The sequence below is a fragment of the Homo sapiens genome, chromosome 12 (genome assembly GCF_000001405.40).
Source record: "Homo sapiens chromosome 12, GRCh38.p14 Primary Assembly".
NCBI classification, from domain to species: Eukaryota; Metazoa; Chordata; class Mammalia; order Primates; family Hominidae; genus Homo; species Homo sapiens.
Genome location: NC_000012.12, coordinates 32,014,260 through 32,035,716, shown reverse-complemented (window position 1 = coordinate 32,035,716; position 21,457 = coordinate 32,014,260). Strand labels below are relative to the sequence as shown.

General features: G+C 44.0%; 5 annotated features.

Moving 5' to 3' along the window:
- Nucleotides 10,428–10,722: an enhancer, noted in NCBI's record as "tiled region #8759; HepG2 Activating non-DNase unmatched - State 3:PromF". NCBI's record gives its function as "activates a minimal TATA promoter and a strong SV40 promoter by Sharpr-MPRA in HepG2 cells {active_cell/tissue: HepG2}" and the evidence as "EXISTENCE:reporter gene assay evidence [ECO:0000049][PMID:27701403]".
- Nucleotides 11,989–12,662: an enhancer, noted in NCBI's record as "H3K27ac hESC enhancer chr12:32175989-32176662 (GRCh37/hg19 assembly coordinates)". NCBI's record gives its function as "activates a minimal SCP1, AML or CMV promoter by ChIP-STARR-seq in naive H9 embryonic stem cells {active_cell/tissue: H9 hESC(naive)}" and the evidence as "EXISTENCE:reporter gene assay evidence [ECO:0000049][PMID:30033119]".
- Nucleotides 13,337–14,010: an enhancer, noted in NCBI's record as "OCT4-NANOG-H3K27ac hESC enhancer chr12:32174641-32175314 (GRCh37/hg19 assembly coordinates)". NCBI's record gives its function as "activates a minimal SCP1, AML or CMV promoter by ChIP-STARR-seq in naive H9 embryonic stem cells {active_cell/tissue: H9 hESC(naive)}" and the evidence as "EXISTENCE:reporter gene assay evidence [ECO:0000049][PMID:30033119]".
- Nucleotides 17,550–18,546: an enhancer, noted in NCBI's record as "OCT4-NANOG-H3K27ac-H3K4me1 hESC enhancer chr12:32170105-32171101 (GRCh37/hg19 assembly coordinates)". NCBI's record gives its function as "activates a minimal SCP1, AML or CMV promoter by ChIP-STARR-seq in naive H9 embryonic stem cells {active_cell/tissue: H9 hESC(naive)}" and the evidence as "EXISTENCE:reporter gene assay evidence [ECO:0000049][PMID:30033119]".
- Nucleotides 18,547–19,542: an enhancer, noted in NCBI's record as "OCT4-NANOG-H3K27ac-H3K4me1 hESC enhancer chr12:32169109-32170104 (GRCh37/hg19 assembly coordinates)". NCBI's record gives its function as "activates a minimal SCP1, AML or CMV promoter by ChIP-STARR-seq in naive H9 embryonic stem cells {active_cell/tissue: H9 hESC(naive)}" and the evidence as "EXISTENCE:reporter gene assay evidence [ECO:0000049][PMID:30033119]".

Genomic DNA, 21,457 nt, shown 5'->3' with positions numbered 1-21,457 from the left:
CTGCTGCAACCTCTGCCTCCCGGGTTCAAGCAATTCTCTGCCTCAGCCCCCCACGTAGCTGGGACTACAGGCACAGGCCACCACACCCAGCTAATTTATTTTTATTTTTATTATTTTTTTGAGACAGAGTCTCACTCTGTCGCCCAGGCTGGAGTGCAGTGGTGTGATCTCAGCTCACTGCAACCTCCACCTCCTAGGTTCAAGTGATTCTCCTGCCTCAGCCTCCCGAGTAGCGGGATTATAGGCATGTGCCACCATGCCTGGCTAATTTTTTTTATTTTTATTTTTAGTAGAGTTGGGGTTTCACTATATTGGCCAGGGTGGTCTCGAACTCCTGACCTTGTGATCTGCCTGCCTCGGACTCCCAAAGTGCTGGGATTACAGGCGTGAGCCACTGTGCCCAGCCTAATTTTTCCTTCTTTAAGAACTTTTGTGTCTGGGCACAGTGGCTCACACCTGTAATCCCAGCACTTTGGGAGGCTGAGGCTGGAGGATCGCTTGAGCTCAGGAGTTTGAGACCAGCCTGGGCAGCAAAGTAAGACCTCATCTCTACAAAAAATAAAAGTTAGCTGGGCATGGTTGTGAGCACCTGGGGTCCCAGCTACGCAGGAAGCTGAAGTAGGAGAATCACTTGAGCCCAGGAGGTCAAGGCTGCAGTGAGCTGTGATTGCACCACTGCACTCCAGCCTGGGCAACAGAGCAAGTCCCTGTCTTAAAAAAAAAAAAAAAAGAAAAGAAAAGAAAAGAAAAAGAAAGGAAAAAAAACCCACCAAAATAAATAAATAAAAACCCTACAAAAAGGCAAAAAAAAAAAACCTTAAAAAAAATATTATTGCAGCCGGGCGGGGTGGCTCATGCCTGTAATCCCAGCACTTTGGGAGGCTGAGGCAGGCGGATCACCGGAGGTCAGGAGTTCGAGACCAGCCTGGCCAACATGATGAAACCCCGTCTCTACTAAAACTACAAAAAATTAGCCGGGCATGGTGGTGGGTGCTTGTAGTCCCAGCTACTTGGGAGGCTGAGGTAGGAGAGTCGCTTGAACCCGCTAGGCGGAGGTTGCAGTGAGCTGAGATCATGCTGCTGCACTCCAGCCTGGGTGACAGAGCAAGACTCCCTCTCAAAACAAAAACAAAAAAAAACCTTATTCTTGCTGGAAGAGTCTATAGGAAAAAAATTAATGTAAGTATAATAAATAAATGGTTATAGATGTATACTATATATATATATTTATACAATATATAATGATAAAACCACTAAGCAAAAGTGTTGCAGGAGTTAAGGATGAGCCACCCCAAAATTGGCTGATGTGATGTACTGATTATTTCAAGCTGAAAGTACTTGAGAGACTGTAATTGCAGAAAGGGCTCTCTGACCTGTCCTTTCCTACATGTAGCAAGTCATAAAAATTCCTTTGAGGAGGAGGCCTTTCCGGTACCAGGGCAAGAAAATAACCCTTATCTCCAGGGACTGGGAACTGCCACTGAGCTGGACCTGTACAGATAAACTTACTTAATAAATCCTTATCTTCCACTAGGTTTACATCCCCCCATAAATCTCCTAGTGACTCCCCTAGAATTTACTGTCCCCAACCTGGATCCCTTTGTCCAGTCCTTTCTTCACAGATTTACCATTCTTTATCTAAAAAGTAGAAAAGCTTTCCGCTTTGGCCATTTCCTCAGGTGTTCACTCTCTTGTAAGTGTCCCTTTGTACAGGTAAAAATTAATAAAACTTGTGTGCTTTTCTTCTGTTAATCTGCCTTTGTCAATTTAATTCCTAGGCCCAACTAAAGATGCCACTTAAGAACTGAGATGGTTAGAGGTGATCTTTAAATTCCCCTGCTGTGTCGACCACTTTCTCTGTACAGCGGGCAGGACTGCCCGGCCTGTTTCCTCCTGTATTTCATATACAGATGTACCAACTGATCAGGAGCATCCAATACTTCTCCTGCCATCGCCTGAGATCTGCATGAATTCATTGTCCCAAGCCACCAGCACTGGAGCACACTTCATGTAACAGCAAGCACTCTGCCTCTGCCTGCAGTCCTTGAAAAGGAAGCTATTAGTTAAATGAGGTCTGGCAAGGATTGGGAAGGGAAGAAAGATTGTCTTTTCCATTTGAAATGAACCTGAACCTGGCACAGTGCCGCATGCCTGTAGTCCCAGGTACTTGGGAGGCTAAGGCAGGAAGATCACTTCAGCCCAGGACTTCAAGGCTAGCCTTGGCAATATAGTGAAACCCTATCTCTAAAAAATAGAGTGAGAGTGAGAGAGAGAGAGCTCACAGCACAAGTGCCTCACACACCACCAAATGAGACCATGATAGAAGCTAGAAGTGCAAAGTGCAAGTCTACCAAACCCATCCCAGCTAATTTTGATAACACTATTAACAATACCCTGTTTATGGTTTTTGTTTTTTTTTTTTTTTTTGAGACAGAGTCTGTCTCTGTCACCGAGGCTGGAGTGCAGTGGCGCATCTCTGCTTACTGCAAGGTCCGTCCCCTGGGTTCATGCCATTCTCCTGCCTCAGCCTCCCGAGTAGCTGAGACTGCAGGCACCCGCCACCATGCCCGGCCAATTTTTTTGTATTTTTAGTAGAGAAGGGATTTCACCGTGTTAGCCAGGATGGTCTCAATCTCCTGACCTCGTGATCTGCCCGCCTCGGTTTATGTTTTTTTAAAATGGGACAAGGGAAAGGTTTGCCGGTCCAAGGAAAACTTCTACCAATCCTCCCATTTACCTTTGGTTGTATAGAATATAGCAAAAATGAGTTTTGAGAGTAAGGATTTTATTCAACTTCATTTCACAAACATTTACTGAGCATCTTCTAAGAGTCAGGAGCAATATGAAGGCCCCCTACCCTAAAGGAGTTGACATTTCCTCAGGTGATGCAGACACTGCCTGAAAGCTATGACTGCAATCGGGTCCTGCTACCAGCATGAGTAAAGTGTAATAGGATCTCAGAAGTAGGGCTCAATTAATTCTCCCTGGAAGAGTTAGGAAATGCTTCACAGATGAGGTGATACTTGAGCTGGCCTTTGGAGTAAAGCGAGTAGGATTTTTTCCGTCAGCTGGAGAAGCAGTAAAAGGGTTTTCTAGATACAGGACACATACAACATGAGCAACATGAGCAGCTTGCACATTCTAGGGACTGGCAAGCTGATTTGAAGGAAAGTGAGAAGTTTCATACGGCTGGCACAAAACAAGTATATGACAGGAGCAAGAAGATGCAAGTAAAAATGGTTTGATCTATGGACATAAACAAAGACCAACCGAAAGAGAACAATCAAAGGCTATTTATCCAGAGCCTGCTACAGCAAGAGCGTCAGTCACAGTCACTTGTGTTTTGGCAAAGACTCAAAGGCAGGCAGAGGAGTGGGAAATTTTTATAGTGGAAAAAGAGAAGGTTTCAAGTATGCCCTGATAGCTGCCAGCTTTGCCTGTCACGGGACTCATGACTATAACCCCAGCACTTTAGGAGGCTGAGGCAGGAGGATTTCTTGACCCCAGGAGTTTGAGACCAGCCTGGGCAACACAGTGAGATCTCATCTCTACAAAAAATTAAAAATAAAATTAGCCAGGCTTGGTGGCAAATGCCTGTAGTCCCAGCAACTTGGGAGGTTGAGGTGGGAGGACTGCATGAGCCTGGGAGGCTGAGGATACAGTGAGCCATGATCGTGCCACTGCAACTCCAGCCAGGGTAACAGAGTGAGACCCTGTCTCAAGTAACTGCCAGCTTCTCTCATTTCTGTCCCAGCTTCCAATTTAGGACCCACAGGAGAAAGCCAAATATGCACCCCTAACCAATCCCATAGGATGCGCCTCTTCTAGTTAGCTGCCTACAGCTTCTCCAGGTCGACAGCGTCCAATCAGGGTAGACCTGAAACTTTTTGCTTTTTCCACTATCAAGTTTTCGCAGTCCTCTGCTTGACTTTGACTTTTTACCAAATGCACATGATGGTGGCTCTCTCTCTTGCTATATAGCAAGCTCTGATTAGATAGCCTTTATTTGTTCTCCTGTAGGTGGTCTTTATTTCCATACAATCAAGTCTAAGCTGCTACCTGGACTATCTCAAGCCTCCTAAATGGTCTCACTCTTCAACTCTTCTCTGATAAATAAGTTGATGCCAGTTATCTAAATCTTTCAAAGTATATAAAACATAGAGTTGATGATGAAAATTTTGCACTGTGTTTGTGCCTGCCATCTTCAGTGCCTCCATCCCTACTTCTGACTCTGTAGTGTATGCCCGGCTGATTTCCATGACAAGGTTTGCTCTGGCAGCCTGAACTGTAACACTCCCCCAGCAGTTCATAACCAGCTCCCTCACTCATCCTGTGGGTAAGTCTGGGTCATGCTCTCTACACTGAGTCCCAGGGTTCTGCAGCAAGATGCAGCTACAGTTGCTCACAGTGGCAGCTGGATTGATAGCTCACCCTTTTCTTAACTGCTTTTCCCTTCCATCCTTATCTCACGTCGCCAGTCCTCCACCAGTGTTTCCTGAGATCACCTCCCAGTGAATTATTAATACTTGCTTTCAAATCCTTTCTCAGGGTGTGTGTCTGTGGGAACCCAAGAGAATACAGCCAGAATTAGAAATAACTCAAATCACCTTATTCAAATAACTAACAACTACAGGAGGAAGAGGAGACCAAATTGCCACTTCCCGCATAGGTTTTCACTAATATATATGCTTGGCAAGAATAAGGAAAAGAGAGTACCCAAGTTATTTTAAAAAGAAGTAAAAAAAAGAAAAGAAGAAAAATTGTTAATGCCATTTACAATTTCAAAAATGACTGCATGTGGTTCATTAACAAGCATTTTCTAATCATAAATAAGTTGCATCACTCCGTGCAGTTATTTAAGGCTGTTGAATTCATACAAAACTAGAGGTAAAAGATTACAATGCAGATGACTAAAGGCAGAATTAGCAGTAAAATAATTTGATGGAGGAGACAAATGGCTTTACATGGAATGGAAGAAAACCTGACAGAAAATCTATCACTTGTGGTAAATGGGGGAGTATTGTACCATTAGTAAAATAGTAATATTAAAAACAAAAAAGCAAATGTTTGTTTGTTTTTGAGACAGAGCTTTGCTCTGGTTGCCCAGGCTGGAGCACAATGGCACAATCTCGGCTCACTGCAACCTCCGCCTCCGGGGTTCAAGCGATTCTCCTGCCTCAGCCTCCCAAGTCGCTGGGATTACAGACGTGTGCCACCACGCCCATCTAATTTTTGCATTTTTTTTTTAGTAGAGACGGGGTTTCAGCATGCTGCCCACGCCGGTCTCGAACTCCTGACCTCATGTGATCCACTTGCCTTGGCCTCCTAAAGTGCTGGGATTATAGGCGTGAGCCACCCCACTCGGCCTATTTATTTCTTTTGAGACAGGGTCTGGCTCTGTCACCCAGGCTGGAGTGCAGTGGTGAGATTACGACTCACTGCAACTTCCACCTCCTAGGCACAAGGGATCCTCCCACCTCAGCCTCTTGAGCAGTTAGGACTACAAGCTCATGACACCACACCCGGATAATTATTTTATCTTTAGTAGAGATGAGGGCTCACGATGTTGCCCAGGCTGGTCTTGAACTCCTGGCCTCAAGAAATCTACCCACCTTGGCCTCCCAAAGTGCTGGGATTACAGGTGTGAACCACCACACCCAGCTTAAAATACCTTTAATTAACTTCAAAAATAGCAGCAATAAATACAATTATTAATTAATTTATTTTTATTTATTTATTTTTGAGACAGAGTTTCACTCTGTAGCCCAGGCTGCAGTGTGGTGGTGTTATCTTGGCTCACAGCAACCTCTCCCTCCTGGGTTCAAGCGATTCTCCTGCCTCAGCCTCCCAAGTAGCTGAAATTACAGGCATCTATCACCATGCCCAGCTAAATTTTTTATATATATATATATTTAGTAGAGATGGGGTGTCACCATGTTGGCCAGGCTGTTCTCAAATTCCTGACCTCAAGTGATCCACCCACCTCGACCTCCCAAAGTGCTAGGATTACAGGTGTGAGGCTGTGCACAGGGCCTCTTTCTTTCCTTCCTTTCTTCCCTTTCTTTTCTTCTTTCTTTCTCTTTCTTCCTTTCCTTTCTTCCTTTCTTTCCTTTCCTTCCTTCCTCCCTCTTTCTTTCCTTTCTTCCTTTCTTCTTTCTTTCTTTTGCTTTCTTTCTTTCCTTTTCCTTTCTTCCTTTCCTGTCTTCCTTTCTTTCCTTTCCTTTCCTTCCTTTCTCCCTCTTTCTTTCCTTTCTTCCTTTCTTCCTTTCTTCTCTTTCTTCCTTCCTTTCTTTCTCTCTTTCTTCTTTCTTTTTCTTTCTCTTTCCTTTTCCTTTCTTCCTTTCCCTTCCTTTCTTTCCTTTCCCTTCCCTTCCTTCCTTCCTCCCTCCCTTCCTCCCTGCCTCCCTCCCGCTCTCTCTTTCTTTCTTTTCTTCTTTCCCTCCCTCCCTCCTTCCTTCCTTCCCTCCTTCCCTCCTTCCCTCCTTCTTTTCTTTCCTACAGGGTCTCTCACTCTCTCACCCAGACTGGAGTGCAGTGGTGCTATCACAGCTCACCACGACCTCTGCCTCTCAGGCTCAAGCAATTCTCTTGCCTAAGCCTCCCAAGTAGCTGGGATTACAGGTGCTCGCCACCATGCCCAGCTAATTTTTGTATTTTTTTTAGTAGAGACAGGGTTTCACCGTGTTGTCCAGGCTGGTCTCAAACTCCTGACCTCAAATGATCCACCCACTTCGGCCTCCCAAAGTGCTGGGATTGCAGGCATGAGCCACAGAGCCTGGCCTACTTATTTTTAAGACCGGGTTTTACTCCCATCACCCAGGCTGGAGTGAAGTGGCGTGATGTGGGCTCACTGCAACCTCCGCCTCCTTGGCTCAAGAGATTCTCCCACCTCAGCCCCATGAGTAGCTGGGATTACAGGCCCACACCACTGCACCCAGCTAATTTACAAATAACACATTTTTATCTGTTTTTTTTTTTTTTTTTAGACGAAGTCTCACTCTGTCACCCAGGCTGGAGTGCAGTGGCACAATCTTGGCTTACTGCAACCTCCGGCCTCCCGGGTTCAAATGATTCTCCTGCCTCAGCCTCCTGAGTAGCTGGGATTACAGGTGTGCACCACCACGTCCTGCTAATTTTTTTGTATTTTTAGTAGAGACAGGTTTTTGTTTGTTTGTTGGTTATATGTAAAAAATGTTTACTTAGAAATAGAATGCTTGTTCCTTGGTGCTACGAAGAAATAGCACTCGAACATAAATTTAATTCTCTTAGCATGGCAATCTTTACTTTTTGCAGAAAGTCAAGTATTCACCACAGATGGAATAATGGCAAGAGCACACCTGAACAATGGAGGGAAGTAATTTTTATCCTTTACGCAGTTTGTCCCTGCTACTGTGTCCTGTCTCCATTGGCTAAAGCCAGACCTCACAATCTAAACTAAAACCTGATTAGCTAACAGTTTAAAACTTTTCTAAATAGGCAAAGGCAATAGAAAGACAAAGGAAAAGAGGAAGTTACTTACGAAAGGACTTAGAAAGGTAATAACATTCTTAAATAAGGAAGGGGCATAGGCTGCGAGCCGGGACAGGCCTGTGCGCATGTCTAGCATACAGTTAGTCTTTAAAAGAAACTACTATTTCTAACACTTATGATTTATTCTTGAACAAGAAGGGAAACTTTGAAGAGGAACTTTTTACTTTCTACAATTTCCTTGTCTTGTTTTTATAGTTTTCTTCTTCAAACTTTTTTTTTTAAATATGTCTTGGCTTAGTTGTTTTGATTAGCTTTTAAATGTATGGTATAACATAACATGACATCTAATAAGGAGAAGTATACTTATTACAGTTGCTAGAGAAGTAAGGACTGAGGCCATGGTCTCTTTCTGTTGGCTGAACTATTTCTCGAGCTAATTTGAAATAGAGTTGTTAATGCTGGAATTTTTTGCTAACTTATTTAATAAGGCAGTAAGTCCTTGGAGGGTCCTTGTTATGCTCCCATTGGGAGCAGTGTTGTTTGGAATAAAGGTGCAACACTGAGTTTTGATTATAATATAAACACTACCTTTCTTTGTTAATATTATATTTAAAGTTATCTTATTTTCTCAGGCCATTTGACTTGTGGGTTTTAATTGTTCAGCTATTTCTTTAACAGCATCTTTGGTATAGTTAATAAATTGCTGCTGGTAGTAATAAATGCAGTTTATTTAATCTACATTTTTATTAATTGCTACTCACTAAAACAACATTGACTTAAACCTTGCAGCTATTTGATCTCTGGTTTTAAATTTATTTGGTACTCTGTGAGGACCTCTAATTGCATCTGAATAGACATGGGAATCAAAATAGCTGTAAGGGGCTGCTTCTTTTGAGGCTTCTTTTATTTGCTTATGTCGTAATTTCTCTTTTTCTGATTGATGAAATGCCAGGGTAAAAGGGATAGCTAATTGAACTAGAGCATAAGTGCTGCTCTAATTATTTGGTAGAGTGTCTAGTAAAGGTTTTTTACAGTATTACTATGCATCCGCTTGGGGATGAATAAGGGTGGACTGATGGGTTAGCTTTTGGAAGTGCCTGACCTCGCTGTATCATGTTAAGTCTTCAAAGTACGCTAAATTTTCCTTTTATCGTTGGAGACACGAGGTAAAATTGGTCTTGGAAGATGGAGGCTGAATGGCCCTCGGGGGGCTGACCCTCAGGGTACTGCACTTTAGGAAATAGTAGAGAGAGTTTGGCACACTTTACTATCTTAGGCTGCAGGATTTTGATACCGGCCGGGTGCAGTGGCTCACGCCTATATCCCAGCACTTTGGGAGGCCGAGACGGGCGGATCACGAGGTCAGGAGATGGAGATCGAGACCATCCTGGCTAACAGGGTAAAACCCCGTCTCTACTAAAAATACAAAAAAAAAAAAAAAAAAAAAGTTAGCCGGGCTTGGCAGCGTGCGCTTGTAGTCCCAGCTACTTGGGAGGCTGAGGCAGGAGAATGGCTTGAACCCGGGAGGTGGAGCTTGTAGTAAGCCGAGATTGCGCCACTGCACTCCAGCCTGGGCGACAGAGCGAGACTCCGTCTCAGATAAAAAAAAGAAAAAAAGACAAAAGAAGAAAAGGAGCTACCATGCAGTCCATGCCTTGTCGATTAGAGGACTATCTGAGTGGAAAGGGGATAACTTGGACTTCTAGCCTACTGTGTGCACAAGCATAACAATTGCTTTTATTTAGAGTGCGGACAGAATATTTAATGTATTTTAGCTAGTCATTTACATCTTGATATCTTGTTTTAATTGCTGTGGTTTGCTTTAGATTTTTTTACTTTTACTACAAAGACTTTGGTTTTGTCATTTGGTATGAGAGGAGTGATAACTGAACAGGCATTAAAAGTAATAATTTGAGGTGAGTTAGATTTAGTTACATTAATAAGATGGGGAGTAGTTAAAGGAAAGAAAAGATAGATAAAGTTTTCTTAGCTTTAACTTGGTAGGGCTTGACCCTGGAACAATGACCTATAACTTTGATGGTGATGACGCTTTTTTGACTTGGGTATGATGTGTCTATCCTTTTCTGCTGTGCGAACGGCAGTCTCGGTGGTTAGCAGCACAAGGTAGGGTTCTTAGGCTGCCTCGAGTTTTTCTTCTTTCTATCTTTTGATGAGGATGTGGTTTCCAGGCAGGTGCTGGTGTACGGCTCCTCTGGTTTGTTTCCTTTCTTGGCTCATGCATGAGGTCGCCTGGTCCACATCATATGTGAGGATCATTTACTCCAGATTGCTGGCCAGTTTCTTCTGCCTTGTTGAGAGTCCGGGTCTATTCATCACACCAGATGGGTCTCAATTTCTTACTACCCCTGAGGCCACCACAATGAGGCAGTGGGAGACCCCCTCATGAGAGGACTAGAGACCACCCCAGAGGAAAATGTATCCCTGTACGGACCACCATTTCTTATATGTAAAAATGTTTATTTAGAAATAGAATGCTTGTTCCCCAGTGCTACAAAGAAATAACATTCAAACATAAATTTAATTCTCTTAGCAAGGCAAACTTTACTTTATGCAGAAAGGGGCTCATAGCAGATGGAATAATGGCGAGAGCACCAGTAGAGACAGGTTTTCACCATGTTAGCCAGGCTGGTCTTGAACTCCTGAGCTCAAGTGATCACCTGCCTCAGGCTCCCAAAGTGCTGGGATGGAAAAGGAGAGTGCCTTGGATTGGCCCTGGCGAAGCAGGGACCATCCCTTTATCTGCACAGGGCGCCAGTTCACCTCAGTCTTTAATTTGCCACAGACCAAATCCTTCATCTAGATAAGAACCTCAAATGAGGTACTTAAAGCCCAGAAAGCTTTGTAACTGCACCCTTGAGCTGCTTGCTCAGGCCCACTCCCACCCTGTGAAGTGCTTTCTCGCTTTAATGAATTCCTGCTCTCGTTGCTTCATTCCTGCATTTCATTTCTCTGCTACTTCGTACGTTTTGTTCAATTCTTTGTTCAAAATGCCAAGGACCTGGACAACTCGTAGTCAAGACCCTCTACCAGTAACACTTGTTGCTCCTATTCCTCCTGGTGCTATTTATTGCTACTGCACATGTACCCTGTGCCCAAGGGTAGAACGACTTTCCAGCTTCTGAAGCACAGAGGCTTGGGGAGGACAGATTGTCATGTGACTCAGGACTTCACTGAACCTTGTTCATACAGTTGACCACATTCCTTTGTTTGGATCACTAAGGGAGAGTCATTATCATTACAAGGCAAGATCCTGGGCAAAGCACATTTTAGACCCCAAAATATTTTGTCCTCTTTGCAAGGCATTTCATCTATTATTTCCTTTTTAATCCAGGATGGGCAAAAAAAGAAGTTGTAATGTTTGTATTCCATATTTGTCGTTACAAAAGAAAGATATTTTCATATTCCAAAATTGTAAAAGTAAACAAAACACAGTAACAACAACGAAAACTATAATCAGAAGGAAGGGCACCAGGTTCAGACAGTGGTGGCTTTGAAAGAAGAAGTAAGTGAGATTGAAATTGAGAGAATTAAAAAAAAGATTTTAAGTTTTTTTTTTTTTTTGAGACAGGGTCTCACTCTGTCACACAGGCTGGAGTGCAGTGATGCAATCTCAGCTCATTGCAACCTCTGCCTCCCTGGCTCAACTGATCCTCCCACCTCAGCCTCCTGAGTAGCTGGGACTACAGGCGGGTACCACTACGCCCAGCTAATTTTTATATTTTTTTGTGGAGATGGGGTTTAGACATGTTGCCCAGGCTGGTCTTGAACTCTTGAACTCAAGCGATCTGTTCATCTTGCCCCCGCCCCAAAGTGCTGAGATCGCATACTGCACTCCAGCCTGGGCAACAGAGCAAGGCTCCATCTCAAAAAAAAAAAAGATAAAAAGCTACACACCGCTGGGCGTGGTGGCTCAAGCCAGTAATTCCAGCACTTTGGAAAGCCAAGGCGAGTAGATCATGAGGTCAAGAGATCGAGACCATCCTGGCCAACATGGTGAAACCCTGTCTCCACTAAAAATATAAAAATTAGCTGGGCGTGGTGGTGCGTGACTGTAATCCCAGTTATTCAGGAGGCTGAGGCAGGAGAATCGCTTGAACCTGGTATGCGGAGATTGCAGTGAGCCGAGATGGCGCCACTGCACTTCAGCCTGGCGAATAAGCAAGACTCCGTCTCAAAAAAAAGCTACATACCTCCCTCACAATTTGCCCAGAAGGAAATTCCTTGTGGACAAGGGACAGACAGAACTCAGTCATCCCTCTGAGGAGGCTCACCTGAGACAAATGCATATCTGATTGCTTCCCCTGCCCTATTGTTTATGTAAAAATGCAGATTCACTGAGCCAGCCTAAATTGTGTATTCAGTGGAAAGATGATCAAGGATTTAAAAGAATGCAACCTTTTGTCTCTTACCTATGTGGGACCTGGAAGCCCTTGCCTCAAGTTATCCCGCGTTACCAGAACGAACCAATGCACATCTTACACATATTGATTAATGTCTCATGTCTCCCTAAAATGTATACAAGCAAGTTGCACACCGACCACCTTGGGCACATGTCGTTAGGACCTCCTGAAGCTGTGTCACAGGCACATCCTTAACCTTGGCAAAATAAACTAAGCTGATTAAGACCTGTCTCAGATACCTTTTGGTTTACAATAGCAAAACCCCGTCTCTAAACAAACAAACAAAAGCAAAAAGAAAAAATTAGGGAAAAGACTATTCTTTCCCTTTTCTTAAAGCATTTTCTTTAGAGGATTTGTCATTGTAAATTCTCTCTGCCCCTGTGAGATGTATATAAATCTTTCTTTTCTTTTCTTTTCTTTTTTTTGAGATGGAGTCTTGCTCTGTTGCCCAGGCTGGAGTACAGTGGTGCTATCTCAGCTCACTGCAACTTCCGCCTCCGGGGTTCAAGTGATTCACTTGCCTCAGCCTCCCAGGTAGCTGGGATTACAGGCACGCGCCACCACATCTGGCTAATTTTTTGTATTTTAGTAGAGATGGGGTTTCACCATGTTGGCCAAGATGGTCTCCATCTCCTGACATCGTGATCCAACCGCCTCGGCCTCCCAAAGTGCTGGGATTACAGGCATAAGCCAACGCGCCTGGCCCCAGATGTATATAAATCTTTCTAAAAGCCTCTTGTAAATGTGTAAAACCCAGGAATGTCTTTCTCAAGGACTTGAGATCTCTTTGAAATGTAAGCATCAAAAATGGCAGTGCTCCTATCTACCAGTGATACAGCTCCGATGAGTGGAGGAACACCAGGGTTCTTGGTCCTCGTGCCAGTTTAGATAAAACGACACAGACACACGTGGAGTGGTTTTAAGGAGTGGAGAGCTTGAGAGCTTAATAGGCAAGAAGAGGCAAGAAGGAAGGGAGGAGGAACAAGCTCCCCTGTAAAGAGACAGAGGGAGGGGGGCTCCAAAGCTGAGAGAGGGGAACCCCGACCTGCCACAGATACCAGCTAGATATATGTACACAGAGGCTGGAGGAGGCGGTGTCTGAATTGCATAGGGCTCAGGGGATTGGTTTGACTAGGCATGTCATTCACATATCTGCGAAAAAGCTGGCCCTCCCACCATAGCCTTTTAATATGCAAAAGCGGGGCACCATGATGTTCTAACACACGTGGGAATACATGGGGGCGGCCATGTTGCCAGGAACTTGTGGGGAAAGGGCAAGAAGGCAGGGGAATCACCATGTTTGGGTGGACCTAGTTTCTAATGGCTTGCATTTACATATCAAAGGTTGCCAGCCTGGCTCTAAGAGCCGGGGCTATACAAGAAACTTTTCCGAAGATGCTTTAAAGAAAACTTCCCAGCTGGGTGCGGTGGCTCACGCCTGTAATCCCAGCACTTTGGGAGGCCCAGGCGGGCAGATCACGAGGTCAGAAGATCGAGACCATCCTGGCTAACACGGTGAAACCCCGTCTCTACTAAAAAAAAAAAAAAAAAAAAAAACAAAAACAAAAAATTAGCCGGGTGTGGTGGCGGGTGCCTGTAGTCCCAGCTACTCGGGAGGCTGAGTGAGGCAGGAGAATGGCGTGAACCCGAGAGGCAGAGCTTGCAGTGAGCCGAGATAGCGCCACTGCACTCCAGCCTGGGCGACAGAGCGAGACTCCCTCTCAAAACAAAACAAAACAAACAAACAAAAAAACCCGAAAACTTCCCAAGGACCCCTTTTCTTCTCTATATACCTAAAATAATTTCTTAATAACTCCTACAGCACCAGTTCCCGTGGGAGGCAGGAGCCTAACGTTGGTGAGAATGTTGCTCCAAATTGCCAAACTACCTCCTCTCACAAAGGTATGAGAAGTTGGCCTGGCGCAATGACTCACAGCTATAATCCCAGCATTTTGGGAGGCCAAAGCAGGAGGATCACTTTCATTCAGGAGTTCAAGACTAGCCTGGGCAACATAGCAAGACCTCGTCTGTACAAAAATGAAAAATACAAAATTAGCTGGGCATGGTGATGCGCCCCTGTAGTCCTAGCTACTTGGGATGCTGAGATGGAAGGATTACCTGAACCCAGGAGGTCAAGGCTGCAGTGAGCTGTAATCATGCCACTGTACTCCAGTCTGAGTGAGAGTGAGACCCTGTCTTAAAAACAAAAACAAAACAAAACAAAAAACCAAACACAAACAACAACAAAAAAAACCCATACAGATAGGAGAAGTTTATTTTTCCTTTATGTAACACTGTCAGAGGCGTATGAACCAGAGTGACTCCATCTTGAATAGGGGCTAAGTAAAATGAGGCTGAGACCTGCTGGGATGCATTCCCAGGAGGTTAAGGCATTCTAAATCACAGGATGAGATAGGAGGTCAGCACAAGATACAGACCATAGAACAGGTTGTTGATAAAACAGTTTGCAGTAAAGAAGCCGGCTAAAACCTAGCAAAACCAAGAGGGCAATGAGAGTGACCTCAGGGCATCCTCACTGTTCACTATACACTAATTATAATATATTAGCATGCTAAAAGACAGCCCCAGTAGCGCCATGACAGTTTACAGATGCTATGGCAACATCAGGAAGTTACCCAGCATGGTCTAAAAAGGAGAGGAACCCTCAGTTCTGGGAATTACCCACCCCTTTCCCAGAAAACTCATGAATAATCCACTTCTGGTTTACCAGATAATCAAGAAGTAACAATAAGTTTAAGTGGCTGAGTGGCCCATGCTACTGCTCTGCCTATGGGGTAGCCATTCTTTATTACTTTCTTTTTTTGTTGTTTTGTTTTGTTTTGAGGCAGAGTCTCACTCTATTGCCAAGGCTGGAGTGCAATGGTGTGATCTCGGCTCACTGCAACCTCTGCCTTTCGGGTTCAAGCAATTCTCCTGCCTCAGCCTCCTGGAATTAGCTGGGATTGATTATAGGCACACACCACCAGGCTGGGCCAATCTTTGTTATTTTAATAGAGACAGGGTTTCACCATGTTGGCCAGGCTAGCCTCGAACTCCTGACCTCGTATCCGCTGGCCTCAGCCTCCCAAAGTTGTGAGGTTACAGGCGTAAGCCACTGTGCCTGGCCTACTTTCTTAATAAACTTGCTTTCACTTTACCCTATGGACTCATCCCGAATTCTTTCTTGTGCGAGAGCTAAGAACCCTTTCTTGGGGTCTGAATCAGGACCCCTTTCAGCTAACTTTACCAATTACCACAGATGGTCACCCTTAATTACCAGGTGAATTTAGAATGAACTATTTGTTACAAATAGTGCTGTCAGGTCAGCTTACTTAGGACTTGCAGCTTATCTCAAGAACATCTATGTTAAGGGTTGTGTCTGCTTAGCTACATAAAAGGGAGACTTTTACAAAACAGATTACATTCTGTTTTGTAATCTCTTAGTGGATTGCCTGTGGTGAATATCACATTTTGATTTAATGCTTATTCAATAATAAAATTATTTTTCTACTATCTTTGTGGAAAGACTTATTGGAGATTTTGTTTTTAGTTCCATTTCTCCAGCAGGTGTGTTTTATTATTCTACGTACTTTTTTGTATTTTTTTAAATTACAAAAAAAAAAAGATACATTCATGGACAACTCCTGAAAAATGCTGTCTACTTTCCTATAGTGCTATTTCCTATAAGTAAACTTCATTTTGTTCAGCAAGTAACCTTTTTTTCCCCCCAGGATCTTAATTAATTAAACGGGTTTTTGATTTACATGTCTAGAAAACTGTTTGAGACCTTAGTATTAAATGCATTTTTTAAAAATTTAGAGACTTAAGGCCGGGCGCAGTGGCTCACGCCTGTAATCCCAGCACTTTGGGAGGCCGAGGCGGGTGGATCACGAGGTCAGGAGTTCAAGATGAGCCTGGCCAAGATGGTGAAACCCCGTCTCTATTAAAAATACAAAAAAAATTAGCTGGGCGTGGTGGCACACGCCTGTAATCCCAGCTACTCTAGATGCTGAGGAGGAGAATTGCTTAAACCTGGAGGGGCGGAGGTTGCGGTGAGCTGAGATCGCACCACTGCACTCCAGCCTGGGCAACAGAGCGAGACTCCGTCTCAAAAAAAAAAAAAAAAGTTTAGAGACTTAAGAGGGAGAGTTTTATATGTAAAACGTTACAATGGAATTCACAGAGAATTTTTTTCTTGTTAAAATATGCTTAAAAATATGAGATTTAATTTGTAAAATATAATACCTGTTTTTCCTGCTAAATTTTAACTTATCTAAAACCAGGGACATTATCTTATTTGCTGCTGTATGCCCTGCTCTAACACAGAGGTAGGTACACAAAAGATGTCTAATAATTTTTGAGTTGAATAAACGGGAAGATAGATGCGTGAACTATAACAAAGCCAGAACATCGTCGTTCCCTATGTATCTGTGGGAGATTGGTTCCAGCACCTCCTTGAATAACAAAATCTGTGAGTGCTCAAATCTCTTATATAAGATGGTGTAGTATTTGCATATAACCTATGCACATCCTCCTATATACTTTAAATCCTCTCTGGATTACTTATAATACCTAATACAGTTGACTTTTTTTTTTTTTTTTTGAGACGTTGTCTCACTCTGGACCACGCTGAATTGCAGTGGCATAATCCTGGCTCACCGCAACCTCCGCTTTTCAGGAGGTTCAAGCGATTCTTCTGCCTCAGCCTCCCGAGTAGCTGGGACTATAGGCCCACTTCACTGAGCCTGGCTAATTTTTTACTTTTAGTAGAGATGGGGTTTCACTTTATGTTGGCCAGGCTGGTCTCAAACTCCCGACCTCAGGTGATCCACCCGCCTCGGCCTCCCAGAGTGCTGGGATTACAGGTATAAGCCACAGCGTCCGGCCAACAAATGTATTTTAAGGATTAATAATTTTATTGAATTACACAGTAACCCACTGAAAATGTAAATTGACTAAACCATAAAAGTAACAACAGTATTCCTTCTTTTAATTATTGTATTGAAGGAGAAAAGGAAATTTCACCCCAAAATATGACTCCCTTGTATAATGAATATTTTGAATTAAACACTCTTCTGTGAATGGTGGCTCATGCCTGTAATCCCAGTACTTTGGGAGGCCAAGGTGGGAAGATCGCTTGAGGTCAGTTCAAGACCAGCCTGGCCAACATGGCGAAACCCCATCTTTACTAAAAATACAAAAGGCCGGGCACAGTGGCTCACACCTGTAATCCCAGCACTTTGGGAGGCCGAGGCGGGCAGATCACGAGGTCAGGAGATAGAGACCTGGCTAACATGGTGAAACCGCATCTCTACTAAAAATACAAAAAAATAGCCGGGTGTGGTGGTGGGCGCCTGTAGTCCCAGCTACTCAGGAGGCTGAGGCAGGAGAATGGCATGAACCTGGGAGGCGGAGCTTGCAGTGAGCTGAGATCGCGCTGCTGCACTCCAGCCTGGGTGACACAGAGAGACTCAATCTCAGAAAAATAAAATAAAATAAAATAAAATAAAATAAAATAAAAATAAAAATACAAAAATTAGCTGTGTGCAGTGGTGTGCGCCTGTAGTCCCAGTTACTTGGGAGGCTAAGGTAGGAGAATCGCTTGAGCCTGAGAGCTGGAGGTTGCAATGAGCCGCCTGAGAGCTGGAGGTTGCAATGAGCCGAGATCGCGCCACTGCACTCCAGCCTGGATGACAGAAGTGAAACCCTGTCTCAAAACAAACAAACAAACAAACAAAAAATTCTTAGAAACTGAGCCTGGTGGCCAGGCATGGTGGCTCACGCCTGTAATCCCAGCACTTTGGGAGGCCAAGGCAGGCAGATCACCTAAGGTCAGGAGTTCAAGACCAGCCTGGCCAACATGGAGAAACCCTGTCTCTACTAAAAATACAAAACTTAGCTGGGCGTGGTGGTGGGCACCTGTAATCCCAGCTACGCGGGAAGCTGAGGCAGGAGAATCGCTTGAACTCAGGAGGCGGAGGTTGCAGTGAGCAGAGACCCCGTCATTGCACTCCAGCCTGGGTGAGAAGAGCAAAACTCCGTCTCAAAAAATAAAAATAATAAATAAATAAATAAATAAATAAATAAATAATCTGGGCCTGGTGGCTCATGCCTGTAATCCCAGCACTTTGGGAGGCCAAGGCATGCAGATTGCTTGAGCCCAGGAGTTCAAGACTAGCCTGGGAAACTTGATGAAATGCCGTCTCTCCAAAAAAATACAAAAATTAGCCGAGCATGGTGATGTGTACCTGTTATCCCAGCTGCTCGGGAAGCTGAGGTGGGAAGATCCTTTGATCCAGGAGGTGGAGGCTGCAATGAGCCTCAAGGGAGCCAGTACACTCCATCCTGGGCAACAAACAGAGTGAGACCCTGTCTGAAAATAAATAAATAAATAAATAAATAAATAAATAAATAAATAAATAAAATAAATAATAAATAAATAAATAAAATAAAAACTCTTAGAGATTATCAGGCCTTGGAAGAGATTTTTCCCCAATCTACATAAAGACCCAGAGCCCCCAAGAGAACAATTGCTTTTTCTTCCCTTCCCTGTTATCTCATTATCTATTGCAGGAAAGAAGGTGAGGAAGGTAACCAGAGCAGGCCCAATCCTTTTGCAAAATAATGTCTGTCTCTCAGGTTCATTTAACTTCCAAAGAAAACTATTTGCAAGTCAATCTGTGTTCCCCCATCCATTTATTCACCTAAATCATCACTTAATGCCCCTCTACTGAACTACCTATATTCCCCATCTCCCCCACCCCTCTGAAAAGAGGTTATATAAGTGTTTGGGGCCAGGTGCTGAGGCTAGTGCCTGTAATTCCAACACTTTGGGAGGTCCAGGTGGGCAGATCACTTGAGGTCAGGCATTGGAGACCAGCCTGGCCAACATGGTGAAACCCTATCTCTGCTAAAAATATAAAAATTAGCTGGGTGTGGTGTCGGGCGCCTGTAATCCCAGCTACTCTGGAGGCTGAGACAGGAGAATTGCTTAAACCTGGGAGGCGGAGGTTGTGGTGAGCTGGGATTGTGCCACTGCACTCCAACCTGGCCAAGAGAGTGAGACTCTGTCTCAAAAAATTAAAAATAATAATAATTATTATTATTATTTGTGTCCTATTGGGATATTGAGCAATCACACTGGTTTTCTCCATGTGCATGGTCAAGTTAATTTGTATGCTTTTCCTCTCAATCTGCCTTATTATTAGGTGATTTTTCAGCAAACTTCCCAAAGGCGAGGGAGAAACTTCTTTGCCCCAATCGTATAAACAAGAACTAGTCACAGTTTTTCCTTTTTTTTGAGACAAGAGTCTCGCTCTGTTGCCCAGGCTGGAGTGCAGTGGCACAATCTCGGCTCACTGAAACCTCCGCCTCCCAGGTTCAAGTGATTCTCCTGCCTCAGCCTCCCAAGTAGCTGGGCCCACAGATGCCCACCACCACGCCCGGCTAAGTTTTCGTATTTTTAGTGGAGATGGGGTTTCACCGTGTTAGCCAGGATGGTCTCGAACTCCTGACCTCATGATCCACCTGCCTCAGCCTCCTAAAGTGCTGGGATTACAGGTGTGAGCCACCACGCCTGGCCTAGTCACAGTTTTTTAGCCTATGTGTAAGTGTGTGTGTGCAGACACAGTTCCCTCTTCTGAGACACAACTAAGATTCTGTTAAGGTGGTATTCTCCCTTGCTGCCGTGAATCTAAACTCAGCTTTACTTGATCAACAGTTTAATTTTCTGATCTTCTTTCAGATTTGATAGTTAACACCAACAAATGTCATTTCACTCTTACTAACAATTACCTAAATTATACGAAACTTTTTTTTCTTGGGGACAGGATCTCTCTGTGTCATCCAGGCTGGAGTGCAGTGGTGCCCTCACAGCTCCCTGCAGCTTCCATCTCCTGAGCTCAAGTGATCTTCCCACCTCAGCCTCCTGAGTCACTGAGACTACAGGCACTTGGGCACCACTGGGTCTGGCTTTTTTGGTTTTGTTGTTTTGTTTGGTCTTAAACTTCTGGGCTCAAGCAATCTTCCCACCTCAGCCTCCAAAAGTGCTGGGATTACAGGTGTGAGCCACCAAGCCCAGCCATAAAACCTTTTTTTTTTTTTTTTTGAGACGGAGTCTTGCTCTGTCGCCCAGGCTGGAGTGCAGTGGCATGATCTTGGCTCGCTGCAAGCTCTGCCTCCCAGCTTCACGCCATTCTCCTGCCTCAGCCTCCCGAGTAGCTGGGACTACAGGCGCCTGCCACCATGCCCAGCTAATTTTTTGTATTTTTCATAAAGACAGGGTTTCACTGTGTTAGCGAGGATGGTCTTGATCTCCTGACCTCGTGATCCACCTGCCTCGGCCTCCCAAAGTGCTGGGATTACAGGCATGAGCCACCATGCCCGGCCCATAAAACCTTTTTTTTAACAGCTTTATTGAGATAGGATTCAGAATCATTCAATTCGTCCATTTAAAGCATACAATTCAATGGTTTTTAGTGTATTCATAGAATTGTGCATCCATCATCACAGTCAATTTTAGACTATTTTTATCATCTCCAAAAGAAACCACATACTCTTTGGCTGTCACCCCCAATCCTTTCACCAACCCTTCCTGCCCTAAGCGCTAGGAAACCGCAAATCTACTTTCTGGGTCTATAGACTTGCCTATTCTGGGCATTTCATATAAATGGAATCAGACAATATGTAACACTTTGTGACTGCTTTTTTCATTTACCATAATTAATGTTTTCAAGGTTCGCCCAGGTTGTATAAGTACTTCATTTCTTTTCATTGTTGAATAATATTCCAATGCATACATTTTCCACCTTTTGTTTATTTGCTCACCAGCTGATGGACATGTGCATTGTTCCTCATGTTCTTTATACATCAAGGCCCAGTCCTCTATGTGAGATGGAGATTGCCTTTCAATTCTTTTTTTCTTTTAATTTATTTAGTATATATGTGTGTGTGTGTGTGTGTGTGTGTGTGTGTGTGTGTGTGTCTGTTTTGTTTTTGTTTTTGTTTTTGAGATGGAGTCTCACTCTGTTGCCCAGGCTGGAGTACAATGCCACGATCTTGGCTCATTGCAACTTCTGCCTCCCAGGTTCAAGTGATTCTTCCACCTCAGTCTCCGAAGTAGCTGGGATTAAAGGCGCAAGCCACCATGCCCGGCCAATTTTTGTATTTTTAGTAGAGACGGGGTTTCTCCATATTGGTCAGGCTGGTCTCGAACTCCTTACCTCAAGTGATCCACACGCCTCGGCCTCCCAAAGTGCTGGGATTACAGGCATGAGCCACCGTGCCCGGCCTACAATATATATTTTTAGAAGACACAGGGTCTCACTATTTTGCCCAGGCTGATCCCAAACTCCTGGGTTCAAATGATCCTCTCACCTTGGCCTTCCAAAGTGCTGAGATTACAGGTATGAGCTGCGGCTCACCCCCGGCCTGCCTTTTAATTCTTAACCTTTTTTTTTTTTTTGAGGAAGAGAGACATTTTTATCATTTTTATCACAGCTCCAAATTATTTACTGATTTGCTCATGGACATAATCCCTGCTAGAACACTATATTCTGAATGTTCAA